Source organism: Homo sapiens, chromosome 7, assembly GCF_000001405.40.
Source record: "Homo sapiens chromosome 7, GRCh38.p14 Primary Assembly".
Classification (NCBI taxonomy): domain Eukaryota; kingdom Metazoa; phylum Chordata; class Mammalia; order Primates; family Hominidae; genus Homo; species Homo sapiens.
In genome coordinates, this window is record NC_000007.14 from 44274469 (window position 1) to 44293252 (window position 18784).

Sequence of the window (18784 nt, forward strand, 5' to 3'; positions counted from 1 at the left end):
CGGTTCCCACCCAGGCCTCAAACCCGCACCTTTCGGGCTTCCCCGCTCCTGCCCAAGTCGTCCCGGGCACCTGGGCACTCCGAATCCCCTTCTCCTTCCATCGGTGGTCACTACCACTCCCCAACCAGCTCAGTCCTTAAGTGGAATCTTCAAAACACTCTTCTCCTCCCACCTGTTCAACTCTGTTTATTAAGGAGGTACTATGTGCAAAGCAGGAGGCCTGCCCTTGCTGGGCCTACAGTCTGCTGGCGGGTGGCCTGGAGGGAGCAAGGGGCGGTGAGCAGGAAGGACCAGGGGAGGGGGCTGTGCCCACACTGGCAGAACCAGGTCTTCAAACCTTGGGCCCACAGGCTGTGGGTTCAGCCATCTCCCCAATCCTCACTCACCTCCTGGAACCGGCAGAGCCTGGAAGTAAGGATCCCACCAGATGTGGGAACTGTCAGTGCTAGAAAAGCCAGGCAGCATGGAGGGCAACCCTCCATCTATTTTACAGAAAAGAGGAGTGAGGCAGGGAGGCGATGGTCTTTAGGGGCCAGAACCCAGCTCCCAGGTCTCCCCTCTGCCGGGAGCCTTTTCTGCCACTGACAAGCCCCTGACCCTGCAAGATGAGTGGCTGGAAATGCGGAAGGACGCAAAGGGGTCCTCCGTGACAACTCCTCCCCTCCCCTCCCTCCCTTCCCTGGCTCAGGGGTTCCTCCCTCACCCCCTCCAAATGCCAACAGGGTGGGCCCTGCTCCTGCATCCAGTTCAGGATGCATTTGTCTTCCCCAGGGGTCATGGAGGCTCAGGAACCTGGCATTGGACCCTGACCGGCAGGTTTTGGGACTCGGTGTCTACACAGGGCCACACCCAGAACCAGAGAGCAGGAGGTCATGATGCTGCCCACCCTTTCTCCACCTGACAGATGGGGCCAGCAAGGGCCAGCACCCTCCGCGCAGCCCGGCTCCCTGTTCTCCTGGTCCTCTTCAGGGCCGCTTTCTAGAAGCCTTCGATTAAACCAATTCAGTTTCCAAAGTAATGACAAAGTCCTGTCTCTTAACAGTCTGGCTGAGCATTGCCAGATAAAACACAGGGTGCCCAGTTAAATGACAAAGGACAAAATTTGTTTTCGGTATAAGTTTGTCTCAATTTCAGATACACAACAAATAATTTTTAGTTTAAGTAAGTGTGTCCCACGCAATTTGGGACACACAGTGCTTATTTTACATCTTTTGATTGTAAATCATACTTAACTGCTAAATCCAGCAGCCTAGCCTCGTTCCTTCATTGCTCCTAGGTGGCCCTCCCCCTGGGAGGGGCAGGCATGCGGTGCCCCCACTGAGCCCCCAGAAGGCCTGCCTCCCAGCTCCCCTAACTCCTTCTGTACCTGGATGCAGGGTCCCTTCCCCATAATCCCAATTCAGGGACCATCCCCATCCTGTTGAAGGCTGACCCTGGGGCAGGGGAGGGGGCGTTTCCCAGGGATTCCCCCAATTCCTGGCCACCCTCCAAATCCCTAGAGAGCAAACTTAAAGGCAGAGTGGGCCAAGAGTTCGGTGGGGGTCCAAGCTCTAAAGCTGTTCCCTCAGGCTGGAAGCCACCCAGGGAGGTTAGGGTAGGGAAGCAGAGGAGGTCTCCCAGCAGGGAGGAGGTGGGGAGAGAAGCCAGAGGGGAAAGAGGGGCAGGGGGAGGGGAGAAGAGAGGAGGGCAGGGCCCCTGAGCCGGGGAGGAGGGAAAGGGGCGGGTCTCCAGGCTGGGAGGGGAGGGTCCCTGGGCTGGGAGGGGTGCTGCTGCCACAGGCGCATGCTCAGCTGTCCCTGCAATGCGGCGCCTTGTCCTCTATTAACCCAGTTCCGCGGATTCTGCCGACCAGGCACTCATTATCCCCCTGAGCAGGGGTCGTTTTCTGGCTGTGGATTGCGCGGGAGCCACAAGAAAACTGCAGTACCGGCTGCAGTAGGAAAGCCCCGGAGGCAGCACCCCCCCGCCACCCACTGCACAAAGGGGTCCCAGGCAGGCAGGCTTCTGGCTGGGGAAAGGGGGGGCGTGCAGGCTTCCCTGGGGTGCGGGCTCAGCCCCAGCCCCAATGATCAGAGACCTCAAGATGGTCCCTGTCCATCATGCCTTTGGGCAGGGAGTGTCCCCCCAAGACAGAAGGGTCCCTGGGGAGACCAGGTGCCCCAGAAAGGGAGCTGGGGTGAGCTGCGCATGGGCCTGCAGGCAGGAAGAGGACAGTGGTGATACTGATCTCTCTGTGGGGTGAGCCTCGGGCCTGGGAGGTGAGCCCCACTTGTGAGGTCAGCCCCACCTGGGAGCCCCACGCTGGCCGAACCCTCGGCCTGCCTCAGCTGGGTGAAATCTAGAGTCCTCCACATCCCGGCTCTGCTAACCACCAGCTAGGGGACCCCGTCCACCTCTCAGCTTCTTCGGGACTCAGCTTTCCCCCCATGTGAAAGGGGAGCCCACGCTCAGCTCAGAGGGTGGGAGGACATGAGACAGCGTCGATGATGCCAGGAGCTCCACCCTGAGCTGAAGGGCCATTCCAGGGCACGGACCCTGCACCAGGCTCTCCACAGCATGGGCCGCTAACCAGGGTCACCCCGCTGCACTGCTTCCTACGCACGCTTCCCTCTACACAGGGCGTCCAACAAGGCACAACAAAACTGTCCCCAAAAGAACAGCCGTTCATTGTGGACAATGAGCAGCAGGGGCTGGGCAAGCGGGCGGGGGGTTGGGGTAGGGGGTAGATAACAACAAGACATGTTTTAAGACTTGTGTGCCTAATGATCTCTTTACCCCCGTCAATTAATTTCCTCTAACTGCTTTTGTTAACAGTAGTTTAATAATCTCTCATTATTCAGTACATTCACCAACTTTGAATGTCTCACAATCCTCCATTTAATTAAGTATTAAATATTAAAAAATCGAACTGTTACAGCTTTGGCACCAGCTGGTGCAGTTCTGCAGTGTCCGCGTGGCCGAGTATTTCGGTAAGTGGGGGCCTGAGTGTTTCTGGAGTGGCATCCTCCTTCCTGGAGCTGCATGCTACCAGCCGCTTCTCATCACCAGGAGCCTTGAAGGACCAAGGCCGCCCTGCTCGGGCCCGGACATGAGTGAGTGTGGGGACACAGCACTCCTAGTGACTCTCAAGGAGTGAGCGAGGCCCCTCCACTGGCGCTAGACCCAAATCAGGGGTGAAATGCAGCCGGGGAGGCTGCTGGAGCCTCCCCCACAAGGCCCAAGGGCCCAGAATCCTTCTCCCCCACCAACCCTTGCTCTCTGGGTCCCCTCCCCATCCCCCACCTCCCTGAATAGCAGGGGGGAAGGCCATTGCTCTCTGGGTCCCCTCTCCATCCCCCACCTCCCTGAATAGCAGGGGGGAAGGCCATTGCTCTCTGGGTCCCCTCTCCATCCTCTACCTCCCTGAATAGCAGTGGGGAAGGCCATTTTGGGGAAGCCCCTGCCCCACCACGATGGGAAGGAGAGAGCCAGACACCCAGGCAGAGCCTGGGCCCAGCCCCTGGTTAGGAAGGGTGTTATGCTCTCCCACGTTTTCACAGGCTCTGGGCTGGGAGCCAGGAGGCCATCAGATGAACCAGCTGCATCTGCCCTCAAGGAGCACATGGTCAGTTGAGAAACAGCCAGGGGCGCCTGCCATGGGGCCTGGGGAGTTCCAGGCAGGGTGGCAGGCTGCCCGTGGGACGATCCAGGACAGCTTCATGGAGGAGGGGGCCCTGGGGCCTGCAGGTTGGGTGGGCCAGACGACACCAGAAAGCTACTGGGTATTCACGAGGGGTCCTCCGCAGCAGGACGCAGAGGGTCTGGCCAGGAAGGGAGGCAGCGATGTGGAGAGGGATGGTCTCAGAGCTTTGCAACATCCCTGTGAGGTAGATACTTTACAGCTGGGGAAACTGAGGTCTAGGATGACTGAGTAACCTGGCCACGGTCAGACAGCTGGGCAGTCAGGGTTGAAGCAGGACATTCACCTGGAGGTGCGTGTCCCACAGTGAAGCTCTGGGGCTCCATCCAAGACCCCATCCCTCACCTCCCCCATTCCTCCTCAGCTAGGAAAGCCCAAAGGGCCTGGGAGGGTTGGGGAACCTCAGGTCCCCGCATGGGGGAGGCAGCCCAGGGCAGCAGAGGCCACAGGACAGAGCACCCAGACTGAGATGGGTGGTGAGTGCAGGATTCTGCCTGCAGAAGAGGGCCAGGAGGAAGTGCCAAGCATCCTTCCTCTACGGTCTCAGCAGACCGTCCAGCGCTGTCACCGCCCACCCCAAGAGGCAGGCTGGGGGCAGGAGAGGGGACACCAAAGCAACACCCACAGCATCTGGGCAAGGCCAGCTCTGTCTGGGTCATTTTCTGGAGACCCAGATTTCAACTCCAAGGGGATGAGGTTCCCTCAAAGCCGGGGTGGTAGGGCCAGCTCCCTCATCAAGAGTTCTGAGGCTCCACTGTGATCTATGCTGTGTGGCTACAGCGGGGCCCCCGGGGTGTGAACTGCACACCTCAGGGATGCTACCCAGGAGCAGGACTCAAGCACCAAGGGCAGACAACCCAATTGTGCAGGGCCGTGTGACCCAAAGGTTCAATTCTGAGGAAACCTCTGAATCATTAGAAACACAAACACAGGCTGCATATGAGATGGTATCAAGGAATTACTGTCCATTTTTCAGAATGATAAAGCTCCTGTGGCTGTTTTTGGAACCCTTTTCTGCTAGGGATGCATGCTGAGATATTTATGCACTGAATGGTAAACATCCCAGGGTCTGGGGCCCAGATGGAACAAGACTGGCTAAGAATTGATAACTGTTGAAGCTGGGTTCGTTCTATCATTTTCTCTGTATTTGGGAGTGTTTGAAATTTTCCACCATAAAAAGTTAAATAGGAAAAAAATGCCCAAGAAAATGGCAGGGTGAGGCTGTGCAGCCCTGGGCGGAGGGCCTGTGTACAACTCGAGGCAAAGCAGAAAGGGGTCGGCCTGCCCTCTGGAGCCACACACGGCTGGGTATCCCTGCCCCTGCCCAGAGAGGCATCCTGCGGGAAGGTCACAGCAGGGAGCTGGCTGCTGAGAATGCCAGGCAGCCCCCTGGCTGGCTACCCCTTCCTCCCACCACCCTACCCAGCTTGCATCGAATGAGTAAACAGGCTAGGCATACAGCTTGAGAGGCACAAGCACCTGGGAGCAAGGCCTGTGATGAGCCACAGGGCAACACAAAGCAGCTCAGCTCTGCAGCTTGTGTGGTCAGCAGGGTCTCCAGGGCGCAGCCATCCTCTCACTCAGATTCCCACTACCCTAAATCCTTCTGACTCATAGAGCACTTTGAGAATATAAATAGGGGTTGTGAGGTTAATTTAGAGGAGCTATGTAATTCCACAAAAACATACTCGGGTAGTTTTCTGCTTGACCCTAACAAACTCCTACTCATCCCTCAACGCCCATGCAACACAACTTTTGGAGTGAACGAGCACAAGACAGGTCAGTGGCAGCGCAACTCCACTTTTAGGACTGCCTCAGGACTGCCTCTCCCAGGCCCCACCCAGCACACAGCGTCGTAGCTGCTGGTTTCAGGGTGTATCTGCTCATCTCTGTGTCCTCCGTGTAAACCTGTTACATGAGTGAGAGTCTATGTCTAGGGTGTGTCTAAAGGGGTTCCTCTCTCCTCCTCCCGAGGTCTCGCACAATTGAGGAACGAGACAGAATGTGCAGAGGGGCCAGGAAGCCCTGGGTCTGACATGCCCCATGGTCCCTGGCCGAGGAGAAGCAGGCAGAGACAAAGTGATCCCAAAGGAGAGGCTGGCAGCACTGTGCTGCCCTGCATGGGCCCACAGGTGTGGGCCTGGTATCCAGGAGGGAGGGAAGGCCCCACGGGTCTCAATCTGTGGAGAGAGGGGCCACACTACACACATATGTCACCAGGCCACAGGGCACGAGGTGGTGCTACCTCACACGTATGGCCCTGGGAAGTGCATGTCAGAGCTGTGGGTCTAGGTGGACAAGGCTTTGGAGGCCCCTGATAAGGAAGGGCCCGAGGTGGGTGGGGGTGGCTGCTGACCTTCACGGACAGATGGAAAAGCAGGAGGGAGACAGCCAGCTATGGATTCTGGTTTCCTAAGCTAATAAATTTGCACAGGCTTTTAAAACACCAAGTTGACCAGCAAGCAACATTTTTGCCAAACTCAATTCACTGACACATGTCACGGAGCTTCTCCTGAGTGTGGGGTCTCAGTGGCTCTGCCAACGTCATCAGGAATTAGCTACAGCCAGAAAAGTAGCAGCCTTCGTTCAACAGAACATCACACAGCAGTGGGAAGGGATCCATCCCACAGACACACCCCAGAACATCACCCGAGCACAAGACAGGTCACAGCGGCAGCGCAACTCCACTTTCAGGCTCAGACACAAGCAGGTGAAACGCCCATGTGGCAAAACAACAGAGAAACGAGGCAGGGATGAGCATAAAACCAGGAGAGGGATGAGGGGAAGGGGGTGCCTGGAAGGCTCCAACATGAAGTGTTTGAGGTTCCTGCTCTTCCTGGCTTAGGGACCCCACCTTTGTGCTGGGTGATACTCCCCCCACCCCCAGAACATTTCACTCTAGTGCCTCCACCAGTGCCAGCCACAGAACGTCAGGGAACACAGAAGCCTCCTGGGCTCACCAAGCCGTGCACACAGCAACCACGCGGGAGGCGCTGGCTTTAACATGACTGCTGTCATCGCAGGGTGGCCGTGGGACCTGAGCTGGGCCTGGCATCTCTTCAGGTCTCAGTTTCAAGCCTGCTAGAGAAAGGCTGCACTGGGCAGTGCCAGGACTCAGGGTCCAGCGGGGCCACCAGACACTTGTGGGTCTTCATCCATGATGGGGCAGCCACGGGACATATGAGCTGCTCCCTGGGGCCAGGAGGACAGCAGGCTGTGGCCCACACTTGATCATCCCCGTGCCTGGGCTCAAGCCAGCAGCAGTCCCTGGGTGGTCACGGAGAAAATCTGGCCACCGCAGATGACCACACTGACCCACGACTCCCAGCGGCACAGCTTTGCAGGACAGCAGAGGCAGCTCGGATCCTGTGGTCCCGGTATGGCAGCCCACTCAGGGTCTGTGCACTCAGCAGACACCCCAGGACCCTGGCCAGGCCTCTCGGCATCAGCAGCTTCCTGCCCTCTGCTCCCGGCGACATCTGCCCCCCAGCACCCCAATCACCCTTGGTCACACCCATAATGACACACTCAGGCTCTCAACCACACGGCTCAGTCTCTGGAGCCTTACTGGACATCCCTCCTGAGTCTGGACTGAAATCCTGGTTACAGAGGCCACTCCCTCCTCCTCCCACCTGCTTGTCCAAACACCCCAGAGCTCATCGAAGCTGACCCTTGGAGCAAGTGGCCTTCAGCTCTGCCCACTGCTCTCCCGGCCAGGGGCCACCTCCAGGACCCCCACCTGCCTCACTCCAGGCCCCTTGGGAACCTGAAGCATCTTCCCAAGCAGGAACCAGAAGGACCTCTCATTCTCCCAGCTCATCCTGGGCTGGTCCCAGCCTAACTGCCGGAGGGCCAGACAGTCCCATTCCAGAGGCTCTACCATGCTCCACACATGCACCTACACATGCATGTGCACGTAGACACGTGTGTGAACATGCACAGGTACGCTCACGCACACATAGACCTCCTCTCCATGGCACCCTGTGACAGGCAGGGAGTGTCCAGGCCTCAGGGATGTCACCCAGAGACCCACAGGAACTGGCCACAGGCACAACTGAGCACCGCCCACTTATGACCAGTTCTCTGTCTTGATCAAGAAAAAACAAGCTGACTGCCCTAGGTCCTGGAACACAGCCTGGCCCACCCACCCCACCACGGGCTGGGCCCCAGGGGGCCAAAAGAGCTGACCAGCAGGCGGCCCACTTCCAGCTGTGCAGTCACAGGGCAGAAGGGACACCCAGGCCCCCGCAATGTGTGGAGAATGGTTGGGAGCGCATGCCTCTGGAGCTGCCCCAGCCCACTCCTCAGTGTCCCTGCTGAACCCTCTGCAGTGTCACCCTCCCATGGCCCCTCGTGGGCTGGGACACACACATGGGGACTGACCCAGCCCTGGGCACCGCCAAGCCCCTTCGTGGCTCAGTGACGAGGAGGCAGACAAGGGCTGGGACAGGAGCAGGTCCCACTGCAGCCTAAAGGACCTCCCCACAGCCTGGTGTCAGGGAATGCTCCCAAGAAGGGGAAACACTGATGGCCTAATACACAGCAGTCGCTCAAACAACGCCGACACATCGCTCCACAAATGGCACAGGCCCGCCCCCACAGGTGGCTGGATCACTGTAAACTGCAGGCCACAGACAGTAGGCAGCTCTCCCACCAACCCAGAGGAGGCCCGTCTCTGCCCACATTAGGCCCTCAGCATCTGGCAGCCTGGCCAGATGGGTCAGGGCCTCTCCAGCTCCCAATTAGCTCAGATTTGTGCCTGGATGCTAATCAAGGCTGCTGGTGGTGCCCTGGGAGGGGAGGGGCTCAGAGAGGCAGACAGGGGCTTCGCTTGGCTCCCTCTACCAGGGCATCATCCGGCCAGCCCCTCCTCCATGGAACCCCACCATACGGGGCAGTGACATGGGGCTGCCACCTCAGTGAGGCAGCCCACCCTTCCTGCACCCACCTCCACAGCCCCACCTGGCGCTCTGGCACACCCCACCTTGGGGCTCCAGCAGGACCCCTGCCATAGTCCCTCCCCACCACCTCCTCAGATCTGTGCTCCAACCACAGCAGCTGCCCCGGGAGGCCTCTGCCCATCATCATCAGATTTGCTGTGTGCTGATTTTGGGTTTTGTTTGTCCTCGACCTGCCCCACAGGACAAGGACAGCACAAGGACAGGGAGACCCCACAAGGGCAGGGAGACCCCGTGAGGGCAGGGAGACCCCGTGAGGGCAGGAGCCTGTCTGCTCCATCACTGCCTGCAGTGCCCAGAGCTGATCATTGCCAGCAGGGCTCTGGAGGCCCGTGATGGGGCATATCCACATGCTGAGGGCCACTTGGGGCCAGCACCACTCAAGGCCCTTCCTCGCACACACCCTGCACGTCTGAGAAGCCCTCCCAGGACAGGCGGAGTGCCCTGCCACTATGTAGAAGACTTGGGCTCTGTTAGTTAGGAAACTGCCAGGTCACCTCCCAGTAGGCCATGACGCCAGGACTCTGCTGTCAGAAGGCAGATGGCCAACCGCAGCACTGCCCGGTCACCTGAAACTTTGTCACTGAGCTCTCATCTGGCCCACGGCTCTCAGGGCAGATGACACCACCCAACCACCATGGCGGCCTGGCCACCTTGAACCTCTTCCCCTCCAGCTCTGGGGGCAGAGACCCCCATACACGGGATGGGGAGGTGAAAGTGGGCCCTGAGAACAACCTAACCAGAGCACAAAGGTGCATCCAAGGGTCTGAGGGTCCCTTGGCACCCCCACCAGCCTGGGCCCCACCAGGCCAGAGGTGCCCTCAAGTCCCCAACACTCCTGTGCCTCCCTCTGCCACAGCCTCCACTCCAGGAACCCCACTGCATCTGTGCATGGAGCCACAGGCAGGGTGGGCCAAGTGCTGGCCAAGACTGGGAGGGGCCTGCTGCCCAGTCCACAGGGCACGGCCTCCAAAGCCCCTGCCCCAGCCTGACAGCAGCTGCGCAGGACACTCCCCATGCCCTACCTCTGGCTGACAGCTTCTTGGTGTTGATGATCTTGGCTGCATACTCATGGCCGGTGCAGAGCTTGACACAGCGTCGGACCACAGAGAAAGCCCCCCTGGGGAGGAAAATGGGGGAGCGAGAGACAGAGACAGAGACAGACAAGGAGAAAGAGAGAGAGCCGATTAATCTCCCCATAAACACTCCCCATTAAGCATTCAGCCACCGGCCCGGCCTCGGGCAGATGGCTGTGAGTCAGAAACTGTGAGGAAGTGGGTGCCCCTCACAAGCCACTCTCAGCTGGCCCCACTCAACACCAGCAGAACAGAGGCCGGCTTCCCGACGGCTGGCAGAGCCCTGGCAGATGGCACGCCCTGGGGGGCTGTGCAGAGAAGAAGGATCAGTCAGGCCCTCGGGAGGGTGGCGGAGGGGCCCCGTTCAGCTCCTGTGTGACCTACAGGCCTGTATCCTTGTGGGTCGGCTGGACCAAGAGTCCATGTCCACAGGCCTCTCAGCAGGCATCCTCGGGGGCTCTGTACCACGTCCATGAGGCCCTGCTGAGTCTTCCCCAGAGGCAAATAAAGCTGGCCTTGTCTGGAAGGCCCAGCTCCAGAGGGCAGTTATATTGGGATTTGTGCAGTCAGACATGGGGACTCATGGAAGGTTTTGTAGGGAGAGAGAAACATCACATCCTTAAACTGAAAAGCTGGAGGAGAGGGTCCTGAGAGCCTCCACTGTCCAGGTGTCAACGCAGAGGCCATGGAGGCCCAGAGTAAGGGCGAAGGGACATTCACAAACTGACAGCCTGGGGGTAGGGAGAGGGGAGGAGGGACGGGGGACAGAGGGAGCTGACCAGCATCAACCACAGTCCAGAGCCCAAGAGACACAAGGAAGGAATCGGGTTAAGGCTGCTGAGGCCATCGAGAAGAGGCCATGAACGTACCCCACAAAGCCTGGCCTGCAGAGGAGCTCCTGCCCTGGCTTCAGGGCGCCCTGAGGGAGTCAGTGCCACCCAATGGGAGCCACAGAGTCTATGAGGCAGGAGGGGAGGGGGCCGGTGCCCACCAGGAGGCCCCGCAGAATCTGACTAGTCACCACGGTTGATTTAATTTGATTTCAGATCATTTTCTAAGAACAGCACACGTGAGGCAAGGGGCCTGGTCAAGAAATGTCACATGAAGGGTCTGAGTCCAGACAAAAGGGCCAGCGGATGCTCTCAGGCTGGGGCTGGGAGAAAGGGGGGCTTGGAGGAAGCCCACCACCAGGTGGGCACCCACCCGTGCAAACCCGAGCACGCAGGGCCCTCCTGTGTTTGCACCTGCAAAGTGCCCAGCCTCCCCCCTACAGGAACAGCCTCCCCTCCCAGAAAGCTTCTTCGGCCTGGACAGCCTGAGAAACCCACATGGGAGTCCAGGCCAAGGGCTCTGCGTGGTGGAAGAGGAGCGTCTTACATACGAACACCGTTTTATCTACAGTCCTTTGTGGAGATAAATCTTTGTAAAAGAGTACTGTTCAATTCCTTGGAAAGATAAATAATTACACTAAATCTAATTGAACATTTTCTTAACGACTCAGGTCTCAAGAGCAGTCACTGTGCTTGGGCGGCCACTGAGCTGCGTCTTCGCTTTTTAAAGTCAACCAGTGAACAGGGACAGGGGCTGCCTCAGGAGATGTGGGGGGAGACCCAGCGGTGGGAGATGCGGCGGGGGGGAGGCGCGGCGGAGGGGGCGCGGTGTGGGGGGGACACGGCGTGGGGGGCGCGGCGGGGGGGCGCGGCGGGGGGGCACGGTGAGGTGTTCACTGTTCACTCCGCATTCTCTTGCTCTGCTTGATTTTTTCACCATGTGCATCAGTTACGTTCTCATAATGTTTTTAAAGAAAAATATAAAGAAAGGATTATTATTTTTAACATATGACATTAACTTGGGAGACTGAGGTGAGGGCAAAGACCATGGGCTTTTTGCCTGGTCTGGCTTCAATCCTGGTTAGACGGGGTGACACAGCTCTCTGAGCCTCAGTTTCCCCATCCATATGACTGAGCAGAAGAGCCTTCCGGGGCCACTGTGTGGCTGTTTGCCGGACTTCTTGCTCAGGAGAGGTAAGAGCTTCCCGAAACCAGTCCTGAGCTACCATCTGTCACGCTCTGACCCCTAGAGGGCTCAGCGGCCACAGGGCTGACGTGGCAGGCCTCCACTGAGTGTTCTGGACCAGGCCCTGAAGGGAGCAGGGAGTCTGGGCCTCCGTGCGCCAGAACGCAACCACACACTGCAGGGTTGACCCTCAGTAGGAAGTTCAACAGACTGCACATCTATGCCAAGCTGATGATGCCCGTATGGCACCGCTGTGTCGAGCCCGTCCCCGGAGCAGGGAGGAGACCCAAGCGCAGCTTCCCACCAGCACAGCAGGCTCCCAGCTGCTGGCCAGACTCAGACAGGTACCGGAGCAGAGGGCGGCAAGCCACAGCTGTTCCTCAGCACACGACATCCATGCACCATATCACCAAGAGCCTGACCGCAGGTGGGTGGGACAAGGGCTTCCTCCAGTTGATCCCTCTCCCCTCCCTGGGTCAGGCAGCCCCTTTCTCCTCTGCAGAAGGCTCCAGAGCCGCCCCTGCACCATCAGCCTAGGTCGGAGCAGTCAGCAATCGGGGAAGGCGGGGGCAGGGAACACAGGTAAGACTGCCAGAGCCAGGGGGCCAAGGCCAGGCAGCGCCGCTGAGGAAGGAGGAAGGCATGGCTGGGGGCCTCGGGATGAGTGTGGAGTGGGAGCACCAGGCCGCACAGCTGTAGTGACATAGGATGTGGCAGGCACAGTGCCAGGCACCCAGCAGACACTCAGCAGGAAGGGACCAGGGGTGCAGGGACCAGGGGTGCAGGGCCCGGGGGTGAAGAAGGCCCTGCTCTTGGACACAGGCCTGCAGGTAGGGTGGAGGGCACCCTCAAGAATAGAAGACAGGGTCCCCTTTCCCAGCGACTTGGATGCCCCCAGAGGGAGAAGGTGGCCAGCTGGGGGAAGGCGCAGGAGGGCTGGCTCCCAAGGACACCACTGCTCCCTGCGCCCCGCTCCTGGGCTCTGCCTCTCCCACGCCTTCTGTCCCTCACTGAAGCCCCAAACCTTCTCTGAGTCCCAATGTCATCGCCGCCCCCCAATTTTCTCCCTCTCCTCTCTCCTCTGGGGGACTTAAGGAATGTATGCTTAAGTCTCCCACCCCAGTTATTTGCCCGCTTTACCCACCACTTCCCCTAAAGAGCACCCTGAAAGGTGCTCCTCCCCATAATGGCTGTCCACCCGCACCCATCCTGCCATCTCCCCGGGGAACTTGGGCTGGCAGCTGCAGATCCACCTCTGTCTCCTCCCCTTCCTGGTGGTTCTGCCACTTGCCAGACGGCAATCTGTCACGGGAAGCCCCCTTGGAAGTGTCAGCCCTCTTGAGAAGTGGCCACAAACATGTTTAGCATGAGCCATGCAGGCCATGGCTGGGGGCCCAACATCTCTGACTTCTCCAAGAGCAAAGAAGCCAGCACCATCACCATACTCCCTTGCGACTCAGTGCTTGCCCGCCAGTGTTTATAAACATTGAGAGACAACACCGACAAAGAGCCTGGATCTGTATCATAAGCCTGTCCCTGCTGCCAAGGGCAAACTCCTATGCGTCCTTCAAGATCCAATGCAAACAGCTCCCCGCTTTCCCAGCTCACACAGAAAGTCAGCTTGGTCTTTAGATATTGCACCTCCCACGTTCCTTAGGTTAGTTTACTTAATTATCTACCTGTTCACTTTTGCCACTCCCCCTTCCAATGGCTCTCTATGGGCAGAGTGCCCTATACTCTGGACCTAGGTATCAGGCACAGTGCCTGGGCTGTGATATAGGAGCCAGAACTGACCTACAAGCAACACAGTGGGCTGTGGAGCATGGAGTTGCTGGGCCTCAGGGCTTGTCCAGCCCAGCAGTACAGGAAGAGCGGCCCCTAGAGTGTCCCAGCAGGAGGGGAGACCCACCAAGGCTTCCAGGGCCTGTGGGTAGATGGGTCTGTGCTACACTGAGGCCACAAGGCCCTGGTCAGAGCCAGGGGGTACCCCAAGTAAATAAGGCCTGGGGCTTAGGCTCCCCGCCTCTCCACCAGCGCACAGAGGCTCGAAGCCCGGTCTTCTTATCTGGAAGCACGGGCGGGCCTAGCAGGCGGCAGCATGGTCCTTGGGCTCAGCAAAGAATGCCTTGGATGACACTGCAGGTGCATAGGCTGATCACACGCCTGCCTCTAGGGTGTGGACCATCCCAGGCAGCTGTAAGGGCACAGCGGGTTGGGGCAAAGGCAGGAAAAAGCCGGAAGAGGTGCTCCTACGGGATCCCAGGTCGCTGTTCCTGTGGGCTGCGAATTGCATCTAGACATCAAGGTTGCCCGCATGATGGCCTGCATGGGACGAATGCTACTGAGCCAGGCTGAAAGCGATTTTGAATAACCTGTTCAGATCATGAGGCCCCCGGGCACCAAGCATATTATGGGGCTTTTAAAATCAAATAAAGCTAATTAAAACAAGAAAATACTCTTTGAGTCCTTGCTTTGTGGAAGGCTCTGAACCCTGTCTCATTTACAGTGGGATCAACAGTACCAGGGAAACCTGTCCTGAGAGAGAAGGGGAAGAATTAGTTCTGGGTGGGAATGGAGGCCCGGAACTACATGGCCTGTTTCTACGACTGCACCTGCTCGGGCACCTCCTTCATTGCAGGGGGGCTCAGGCTTCTCGCGCGATAATGGGGTGAAGGCCACCTGCGAGGAGAGGTGCTGAGTGTACCTCCCCTGACTGCAGCCACCCAGGGCAGTCGGTGTTTCACAGGCATCCTGTGGGCTCTCGGGGCTTCACAGGCAGAGGCAGCAGGAAGCGTCATTGTCTGCAGGATGCCCCATCCGCCTCTGTCTCCTCCTCGCATCCAGTCTATGGCTCCTCTGGCTCCACAACAGACTGCTGGTGCAGGCCCAGGCTTTCCCAGCTCTGAGCTGCCCCCCCAACCCTCGTGCCTGCCTCTTCCCTCCAGTCCCCACTTGCAACCGGCCACCAGTTGCTGACTATCCGTGGCTCCCACCAACCCCCACGGAGCTCCCCACCGCAGGTGGCTCTGTGGCCTGCCCCACTCTCCACTAAGTCATGCTGGTCGCACTGCGGCCCTCGCCAGCTGCCCGCACCTCTCCCCGGAGAGCTGGGAGGAGGTGTGTCCCTGAGCAGCATGGCTGGAGTTTGTGGGAGGGCCCAGAGAGCAGGAAGGAAATTTCGCCTTGCCCCCAGCAGGACCACACAACAGCCCCTCTAGGGCCCTCTCATGCCTCACCTTCACTGGTGAAGACTGGGGGTTACCAAGATTACCGGCTCTTGGGGTGCCAGTTAAGACACTTGGTAACGACACCAGGGAGGGAAGGTCGGACCCTGCGTCCCCACAGCCTATCCCGTGTGGTCACGCAGACCTTGCTCAGGTGCCCTCCCCAGCCACCTCACAAGGGCTGGTGACTTCCATCAGTAAGGGGGCAGTGATTGTCCCCCTACACAGAATGAGGTGACACAGGTACCAGCCACAACACAGTATCCGGCATCCAGAAAGAGCCGGCAGTGTGATTCTGCTCCCAGGACAGCATAGGCAGGGACCCAGGCGCCTGGAGTGATCGTGCATGTGATCCCCATGACAGGCTGCTGAGCTCCCGCAGGGCAGCGCTGGGCCACGCAGGATCAAAGCGGCCTCTGAGTCGGCCCACTCAACGCTTGGATTCCGTTCCCTTAGTGGAAATTTCAGAGGCAGCAGCTTCTCTCCCTGTTCCTCTCTCTGCCTCCCGCAGCCCATGTCCACACCATCCAGTTTCCTCCCCAAGTGCTGGGGCCTGTGCCACCCCAGCCAGGGCTGCCTGCATCAGTCCTGAGCCTCACCGGTCGGTTGCAGTTCACAGGCATGCGCACACACACATGTGCACTCTCCTCACTCAGATGTTGCAGAATAGGCTGGAAACGCCCCCTCAGATTCCCAACAACAGTGACAGCCAAGGGCCATGGGACCCCTTCAATCCACAGCAAGGCCACACGCAATTCCAGGAAGTTCTTAAATTTTAGAATTTTAGAAAGAAGCTGAGGAGCCCTGAGTAAAAGCAAAAGATCCAAGCCTGGCTGACCTGTTTTGTAAATCGAAATTTCCCATCCAGTTTTTGCGTCTGACGCTCCCCACGCGGGCCAGGCGCTGTCTCCCTAGTAGCAAGCACAGCCCCCTCCCCGCTCAGGTCCTCCAGAGCAGGTCCTTCTGGAAGAGTCTGGGCCGGCCACAGAAGCACTCTCAGGCCGACAGCTTTATTTCCTGCTGTAAATTAATAAAGGGTTGTTCTGAAACCAGCCTCAGGCCACCTACGTCCTTTCTTGCCTGGCTGGCCCCAGGTGGGCTCCATGAGGAGGCCTGGGCTAGGGGCTGGGGACACCCCAGCAGGCACAAGTCCGCTGACCTCATGCGGACCTTTGTGTTTTTCTTGTGTGGGTGAAACTAAACCAAATTGGTATTTATTTGTGTGTTGGCTTAAAAACACAGTTCCCAACTTTGATTAAAATGAGCTCTTGGGAGTGCCAGAGGGGGAGGTCTTTTATATTCTAATCTTGACCTAAGCAATTTGGTGGAAACAGTAACTTTTATATGAACAGAGTGCTGAGGTTGTTGTGGGTTTTTTCTTTTGTGTATTTTTCTGCTTATGATAATACAAAAACAAAACTCACGTTCACAGTAGATGGAATGTATGTTTGTATTATTGTTACGTTTACAATGTTTGCTATGGAGTAAACAAGAGGGTCTACAGAATGCGTTGACGTTGCCTCCATAACCCACAACACGGTCAGTAGGGCCCATTGATGTTTGGATGTGTGCAAGTGTGCAGCTCTGCACCATGAGGAGGTGTCTTCTTACACAATTAGGGGGCTCTTGTTGCCACTTTCCACTTTCTCCTCTCACTATGTCCCCCGCGCTGTTAATGAAGCCTCAACAGTGTGATCTGACAGTTGCATACTTCTTTGCTCATGGATACTGTCCTGTGGATGCCTGCTTGGTATTTACTCCTCCCCAGCCTCTCTGGCCCTGGGGTTCCGCCAAGTGGGGAGAGTGTTGGGGTTCCGCCAAGGGGGGAGAGTGTTTGGGCTCCTGAGGAGTTTCGGACAAGCAGGTGCCCCGCCAGGCAGGAGCTGGAGTCCCCAGGCCCAGAGTAACATCCCACAGGGAGGCGGGTGGCCATCCTACCGCCCCACTGGCAAGACGTCCCCCAGGTAGGTGCAAGCCGAGCTCCCAGGGCTGTGTCGTCCACTCCTGCCCAGGGCCCAGGCATCCTGGGTTCTAAAAACTAGGTCTGAGGTGACCCTACTGGAGACAAGCAGCTGGACACACTCACTTCTCCTCGTGAGCACCCAAACTCGGCCACAGCCTGGGCCGGCATCCAAGCATGTGCCTTATCAGCACGGGAGTTCCTGTTTTGTGTTTGACTTTTGTATTTAACATCACTTCACACACGAACCCCACATTTTGACTGAGATCATATACTCACTTATAGGAAAGAACATTCCCTCAAGTTGACGCACCACTGATAGCTGGGTGCTTCCTCCATTAGCAAGCGTTTAGGAGGTCTCCAACTTCCCTTCTCGAAAATGGCCTGCCATGACTGTTTCAGTCATTTCATTGCGTTCACTTCCAAAAGCACAATTCACGTCAGCAGCAATGGAAAACCATTCTTCCAAACTTGGAATCTGGGTGGCTCATACAACCCTAGAGAGAGTTCCCAAAGCTCTTTCCTGCTTTGGCCCAAGGGCTCCCTAACCTGAGCTTCGGAGCCCAACAAGAGCTAAAGTCTTAACTTATCCATGCTTTATGAGCCTGCTCGGGCTGCTGAAACAAAGTACCACCAACCAAGCGGTTTAAACAACAGATATTTATTTTCTTACAGTTCTGGTGGCCAGAAGGCAGAGATTAGGGCTGGTTCCTTCCTAGGGCTGGGAGGGAGAATCTGTTCCATACCTCTCTCCTGGATTCCGGTGCTGCCTGCAATCCTTGGTGCTAGTTGGCTTCTAGATGCATCACCCCAATCTCTGCCTTCACAGTTACATGGCATTCTCTCTGCTTGTGTCTCTGTGTCCAAGAACACCCGTTTTACAAGAACGACAGTCATATCTCCAATATGACCTCATCCTAACTTGACTAATTACATCTGCTACTATCCTGTTTCCAAATACAGTCACATTTTGAGGACTGGGCTTCCACATACATGAATTCTGGGGGATGCAGTTCAGCCCAGGATGTATGCTGAGTCCAGGTCTGCCTGGTGGAATCTGCCACTGTGTGCAGCTGCAGCAGGCAAACACTTCCCAAATCACACTCCTCAAACATAAGCTTCATAGGACGTTAACAGATGATAGGTGCAAAAGGGGTTCTGTGAGAAAAGAAGTTTGGGAACCAGTAGGTTAGACAGTGTTTCCTTCCTTCCTTTCTTTAACTGCAGGACTTCTCAGGGCCTTGAATGGGATCATCTGTACTGTGAACCTCCAAGAAGGGAGTATGAGGTGCATCCTTTTCTTAACCTATTTGACCATAGAAATCTTTATTCAAAAAGGCTCTGGAGGGCCAGGAGTGTAAGGAGAAGGGACTTCTATTCTTAGGACTCAACACTGGCCCCTTTCTGAAACCCTGTGTGATCCACTGAAGCCACAAGAGATGCTTCTGATGAAATGAACACATTAACAAAGAAACACTTGGCAAGAGCCAGGCAGAAACCTCTCCTGTCCATCCACCTGATGTCCACAAGCTCATCCAAGGATACACCCAAACTTGACGGCTCCAGCCCACAGCAGCAGCCACTGCCCTGGGGTCTTTGTGGGTGCATCTCAGAACGAGAAAACCCAGCAGAGCACCCTCTGCTTTCTGCCCCTCTCAGCAGAGTGGTGTGGCTGCCCCCTTTGGTCTCCTGGGGACCACGTGCCCCTCCCATCAGAGCCCCTCTCCCAGGGGCAGCGCCCTTCCCACCCACCTGTGCAGGAAGCCACTCGCTTCAGTGCATCAAAGTCTCAAACCTGCCAGGTCCCCAGTCACCGTTCTGCTAAATTTCCTCCCAGATACTGAGCGCCGGCTCATCCTCTGGTCAAGCCA

General features: G+C 57.5%; 1 protein-coding gene across 35 annotated transcripts in view, besides 3 other annotated features; it reads right to left on the bottom strand.

Annotated features, from left to right (window-relative positions):
* Window positions 1-18784, bottom strand: part of CAMK2B (calcium/calmodulin dependent protein kinase II beta) — a 108860-nt gene that overhangs the window by 57315 nt on the left and 32761 nt on the right. For all 35 annotated transcript variants that reach the window (XM_011515559.3, NM_172084.3, XM_017012665.2 and 32 more), the window contains exon 2: window positions 9663-9757. Coding sequence is in view for 34 of the 35 variants with exons in the window: in NM_172084.3 (NP_742081.1) it covers window positions 9663-9757 (95 nt within the window). In the remaining variant the exon portion in view is untranslated. The remainder of the gene's footprint in view (window positions 1-9662; window positions 9758-18784) is intronic.
* Window positions 8836-9618: an enhancer, noted in NCBI's record as "H3K4me1 hESC enhancer chr7:44322903-44323685 (GRCh37/hg19 assembly coordinates)". NCBI's record gives its function as "activates a minimal SCP1, AML or CMV promoter by ChIP-STARR-seq in naive H9 embryonic stem cells {active_cell/tissue: H9 hESC(naive)}" and the evidence as "EXISTENCE:reporter gene assay evidence [ECO:0000049][PMID:30033119]".
* Window positions 14139-14781: an enhancer, noted in NCBI's record as "H3K4me1 hESC enhancer chr7:44328206-44328848 (GRCh37/hg19 assembly coordinates)". NCBI's record gives its function as "activates a minimal SCP1, AML or CMV promoter by ChIP-STARR-seq in primed H9 embryonic stem cells {active_cell/tissue: H9 hESC(primed)}" and the evidence as "EXISTENCE:reporter gene assay evidence [ECO:0000049][PMID:30033119]".
* Window positions 15478-15979: an enhancer, noted in NCBI's record as "H3K4me1 hESC enhancer chr7:44329545-44330046 (GRCh37/hg19 assembly coordinates)". NCBI's record gives its function as "activates a minimal SCP1, AML or CMV promoter by ChIP-STARR-seq in naive H9 embryonic stem cells {active_cell/tissue: H9 hESC(naive)}" and the evidence as "EXISTENCE:reporter gene assay evidence [ECO:0000049][PMID:30033119]".